Genomic DNA, 5460 nt, shown 5'->3' with positions numbered 1-5460 from the left:
TCATTGGTTTCAAAGAACATCTTTATTTCTGCCTTCATTTCATTATGTACCCAGTAGTCATTCAGGAGCAGGTTGTTCAGTTTCCATGTAGTTGAGCGGCTTTCAGTGAGATTATTAATCCTGAGTTCTAGTTTGATTGCACTGTGGTCTGAGAGATAGTTTGTTATAATTTCTGTTCTTTTACATTTGCTGAGGAGAGTTTTACTTCCAACTATGTGGTCAATTTTGGAATAGGTGTGGTATGGTGCTGAAAAAAATGTATATTCTGTTGATTTGGGGTGGAGAGTTCTCTAGATGGTCTGCTTGGTGCAGAGCTGAGTTCAATTCCTGGGTATCCTTGTTGACTTTCTGTCTCGTTGATCTGTCTAATGTTGACAGTGGGGTGTTAAAGTCTCCCATTATTAATGTGTGGGAGTCTAAGTCTCTTTGTAGGTCACTCAGGACTTGCTTTATAAATCTGGGTGCTCCTGTATTGGGTGCATATATATTTAGGATAGTTAGCTCCTCTTGTTGAATTGATCCCTTTACCGTTATGTAATGGCCTTCTTTGTCTCTTTTGATCTTTGTTGGTTTAAAGTCTGCTTTATCAGAGACTAGGATTGCAACCCCTGCCTTTTTTTTTTTCCATTTGCTTGGTAGATCTTCCTCCATCCTTTTATTTTGAGCCTATGTGTGTCTCTGCACGTGAGATGGGTTTCCTGAATACAGCACACTGATGGGTCTTGACTCTTTATCCAACTTGCCAGTCTGTGTCTTTTAATTGGAGAATTTAGTCCATTTACATTTAAAGTTAATATTGTTATGTGTGAATTTGAACCTGTCATTATGATGTTAGCTGGTGATTTTGCTCGTTAGTTGATGCAGTTTCTTCCTAGTCTCGATGGTCTTTACATTTTGGCATGATTTTGCAGCGGCTGGTACCGGTTGTTCCTTTCCATGTTTAGCGCTTCCTTCAGGAGCTCTTTTAGGGCAGGCCTGGTGGTGACAAAATCTCTCAGCATTTGCTTGTCTGTAAAGTATTTTATTTCTCCTTCACTTATGAAGCTTAGTTTGGCTGGATATGAAATTCTGGGTTGAAAATTCTTTTCTTTAAGAGTGTTGAATATTGGCCCCCACTCTCTTCTGGCTTGTAGGGTTTCTGCCGAGAGATCCGCTGTTAGTCTGATGGGCTTCCCTTTGAGGGTAACCCGACCTTTCTCTCTGGCTGCCCTTAACATTTTTTCCTTCATTTCAACTTTGGTGAATCTGACAATTATGTGTCTTGGAGTTGCTCTTCTCGAGGAGTATCTTTGTGGCGTTCTCTGTATTTCCTGAATCTGAACGTTGGCCTGCCTTGCTAGATTGGGGAAGTTCTCCTGGATAATATCCTGCAGAGTGTTTTCCAACTTGGTTCCATTCTCCGCATCACTTTCAGGTACACCAATCAGACGTAGATTTGGTCTTTTCACATAGTCCCATATTTCTTGGAGGCTTTGCTCATTTCTTTTTATTCTTTTTTCTCTAAACTTCCCTTCTCGCTTCATTTCATTCATTTCATCTTCCATCGCTGATACCCTTTCTTCCAGTTGATCGCATCGGCTCCTGAGGCTTCTGCATTCTTCACGTAGTTCTCGAGCCTTGGTTTTCAGCTCCATCAGCTCCTTTAAGCACTTCTCTGTATTGGTTATTCTGGTTATACATTCTTCTAAATTTTTTTCAAAGTTTTCAACTTCTTTGCCTTTGGTTTGAATGTCCTCCCGTAGCTCAGAGTAATTTGATCGTCTGAAGCCTTCTTCTCTCAGCTCGTCAAAATCATTCTCCATCCAGCTTTGTTCCGTTGCTGGTGAGGAACTGCGTTCCTTTGGAGGAGGAGAGGCACTCTGCGTTTTAGAGTTTCCAGTTTTTCTGTTCTGTTTTTTCCCCATCTTTGTGGTTTTATCTACTTTTGGTCTTTGATGATGGTGATGTACAGATGGGTTTTCGGTGTGGATGTCCTTTCTGTTTGTTAGTTTTCCTTCTAACAGACAGGACCCTCAGCTGCAGGTCTGTTGGAATACCCTGCAGTGTGAGGTGTCAGTGTGCCCCTGCTGGGGGGTGCCTCCCAGTTAGGCTGCTCGGGGGTCAGGGGTCAGGGACCCACTTGAGGAGGCAGTCTGCCCGTTCTCAGATCTCCAGCTGCGTGCTGGGAGAACCACTGCTCTCTTCAAAGCTGTCAGACAGGGACATTTAAGTCTGCAGAGGTTACTGCTGTCTTTTTGTTTGTCTGTGCCCTGCCCCCAGAGGTGGAGTCTACAGAGGCAGGCAGGCCTCCTTGAGCTGTGGTGGGCTCCACCCAGTTTGAGCTTCCCGGCTGCTTTGTTTACCTAAGCAAGCCTGGGCAATGGCAGGCGCCCCTCCCCCAGCCTCGCTGCCGCCTTGCAGTTTGATCTCAGACTGCTGTGCTAGCAATCAGCGAGATTCCGTGGGCGTAGGACCCTCCGAGCCAGGTGTGGGATATAGTCTCGTGGTGCGCCGTTTTTTAAGCCGGTCTGAAAAGCGCAATATTCGGGTGGGAGTGGCCCGATTTTCCAGGTGCGTCTGTCACCCCTTTCTTTGACTCGGAAAGGGAACTCCCTCACCCCGTGCGCTTCCCAGGTGAGGCAATGCCTTGCCCTGCTTCGGCTCGCGCACGGTGCGCGCACCCACTGGCCTGCGCCCACTGTCTGGCACTCCCTAGTGAGATGAACCCGGTACCTCAGATGGAAATGCAGAAATCACCCGTCTTCTGCGTCGCTCACGGTGGGAGCTGTAGACCGGAGCTGTTCCTATTCTCAAACAGAAATTTTAAAAAGAAATAGTTTCTTTTACCCCTTATTGTTGGATGTTTTACGCCTCATTGAAATACTTTTGATTTCCACTTGAACAGTGCCTGATCCAATGAGAAAATTATTTTTGAGTGGCTGTCTCTGAACACATTTTTAAAAACCCAATTAGTATGCATAAATCTCAGAGTTCTAAGGTCAGAGCTGATAATAAAGGAAAACGTTTAGTACACAAAATTGAAAGCATAGTTATTCATAATTAAAACTCTACATGGACCCTGTTATTCTTTATCCACTTTTTCAAGCAAGATCAGTGAAGATTGAGCTTTACTTAATTTTATCATTATCGCCACTACTTCCTCCCACAATTAAAACTTCTTATTTTAAAATTCTTTTTGTTATAAAAATCTGCTGCCTCTGACAAAATCTAAAATAAAGGCAAAGAATTTGCTCTGCTTAATTTTCACTTCTTTCGTTCACATCTAAAATGCCATAAGTATTCAATTTCTGCCAGAAAACAGCTTTGGTCTCAATTTCCATGACTACTCAGACTGGATTCAGTAATTTCATGTTCTGGTATAATACCTCAGGTATATTTGACCCTTTGGCTTGAAGCAATAGAAGCAACCAGGAAATTATAACTGTGACCATTTCTGATATTCAATCCAGAAAGTCAAACTATGTGGAACCAAGGTGGCAATTGACATACTTCACTGTAATGCTTCTTCCTTTCTTCCTAGCCACACTTTTTATTTTAATAACAAAGATGGTCCACTTGTTACCTTAGCACTCTGATAGTAATACCTTTGTGGGGTTCTCTCATTCTCTTTATCAACACAGCTATCAGGATCCAAGGACCTTGTAGTAATTCCATTTAAACAGTGAATCAGTGATATGATCCTCAGGAACACAGCAATAGACACAGCTAGAAAAGTGAAGTTTCTGTGAAGATCAGTAAATGACATCGAAGGTACGCAATATATTCCCAGTTGAAGGTAAGGCTTTCTAGGTCCCCAAATTTCCCCACAGGAACATTCAGCTGTGGATGACACAACTAACATGGAGTAAGAATTGGACTAGGCATAAGAAATTCCCCTTGCCATCCTTATGGAGGTTCATAGCCTTCAAAAAGCCCTCCACAACCAACATGACTATTCTGGGCATTCTGTCTACCTTTCCACCAGCTTCAAAGCAACTACACACAATTCCTGAGTGTTTGCTTCAGGTATAGGTGAAGAAAGAGCAATTTTTCAAAAGCATCAGCCAGCAGTTCCAGGCTTTAAGCCTATCTGATGTTCAGCCTTACAGCACGACAATCAAACTTGTTATCTCACCCTGAAACTCCACTTTCCTTCTGTGTATCACATACTGATGGAGAGCATCAGCATACAGTCAATCAAGCAAAAGGGAACCTCCAAGCTATCTTTGACTTCAACTTTCTTACTCCTGCAATCTAATCAGGCTCCAACATCTGTGGATTCTTCCTGTAAACTATCTCTTAAATCCATCCCTTCCTCTCTCAAATCCATCCCTTCCTCTCTCTTCTTTCTAACCAATTCTTCATCTTCCTTTCACAAACAAACTTCATATTTTCTCTTTCTCTACACAATATTCCAAAGTAAGCCCATCTATTCTCTTGGACTAAAATGCCATCATTTTGCTGATGAGTCATAATTTTATCTCTGGCCAGAGGAATTCTCTAAATCTCAGACTCACACACTCCACATATCCAACATTCTACTTGTTTCCACTTAAGTATCTCAGAGGCATTGAAAACTTAGCATGTCTAAAATAGAACAATTAATTTTCCATCCAAAATCTATCCCCTCCTGTCAGTCTTCTCCATCTCAGTAAGTGGTATCATTTTCCACCCAGAAACTCAGTTCAGAGACAGTCATCCTTGATTCCTCCTTTTTCTTAACCCCCTATATCCAATCCATACAGCAAGTCATCCTGATGAACCTCAAGTATCCACACTTCTTCATCCCTATCATCACTGCCTTAGACAAGGCCATCATCATCCCACCATCATCTTTCATCTAGACTAGAACAAATGATGTCTGGTTTACATCATTCTACTCTTACTCCTTTCTAATGCATTCTCTATACCATATCAAGAACACTCTTTTAAAACATGACTTGGATCATACCACTTATTTAAAACCCCTCAATGGATTCCTGTTGCCTTTAAAACCCTTTACCATAGTGATACAAGGTACTGCATATCTCTAAGTCCTCAGCTCAAACCATTAACTCCCAATTTGAGTAATAAGCTCTAGTCCTACTGAGCTTCTTAAAGTTCCTATAAGCTGTTAACCTCTGTCCTGCTTCAGAACCTTTGCAAATGCTGGCCTGTCTGCCTAGAATGCTATTAGCAGTATTTGAATGATCAATTTCATCTCATCTTTTAGGTCTGAATTCAATTTTTACCTCCACAAAGAGGTTTTCTTATCATGTCTAAAGTAGGCCACTCTGATTACTCTTTAGCTAAACCATTTGTTTCCTTCATAAATATATTATTTGTAATAATTGTATTTGTTAGTCTGTCTCCTTGTTGTTGTTATTGTTGTTTGTCTATGAGGTTCCCCATAGTACCTGGCATATACTCAGAACTTAATGGTCTACTGTTTAATAAAATATTTTACATCTCTCCTTTGCTTAGAAACTTTTGATGTTTCTC

The 5460-nt window shown here is 41.6% G+C and overlaps 1 annotated feature.

The window, feature by feature from the left end:
* Positions 2070–2616: an enhancer, noted in NCBI's record as "OCT4-NANOG-H3K4me1 hESC enhancer chrX:42747793-42748339 (GRCh37/hg19 assembly coordinates)". NCBI's record gives its function as "activates a minimal SCP1, AML or CMV promoter by ChIP-STARR-seq in primed H9 embryonic stem cells {active_cell/tissue: H9 hESC(primed)}" and the evidence as "EXISTENCE:reporter gene assay evidence [ECO:0000049][PMID:30033119]".

This window comes from Homo sapiens, chromosome X (assembly GCF_000001405.40).
Source record: "Homo sapiens chromosome X, GRCh38.p14 Primary Assembly".
Taxonomy (NCBI): domain Eukaryota; kingdom Metazoa; phylum Chordata; class Mammalia; order Primates; family Hominidae; genus Homo; species Homo sapiens.
This window is presented reverse-complemented; position numbering and strand designations above follow the sequence as displayed.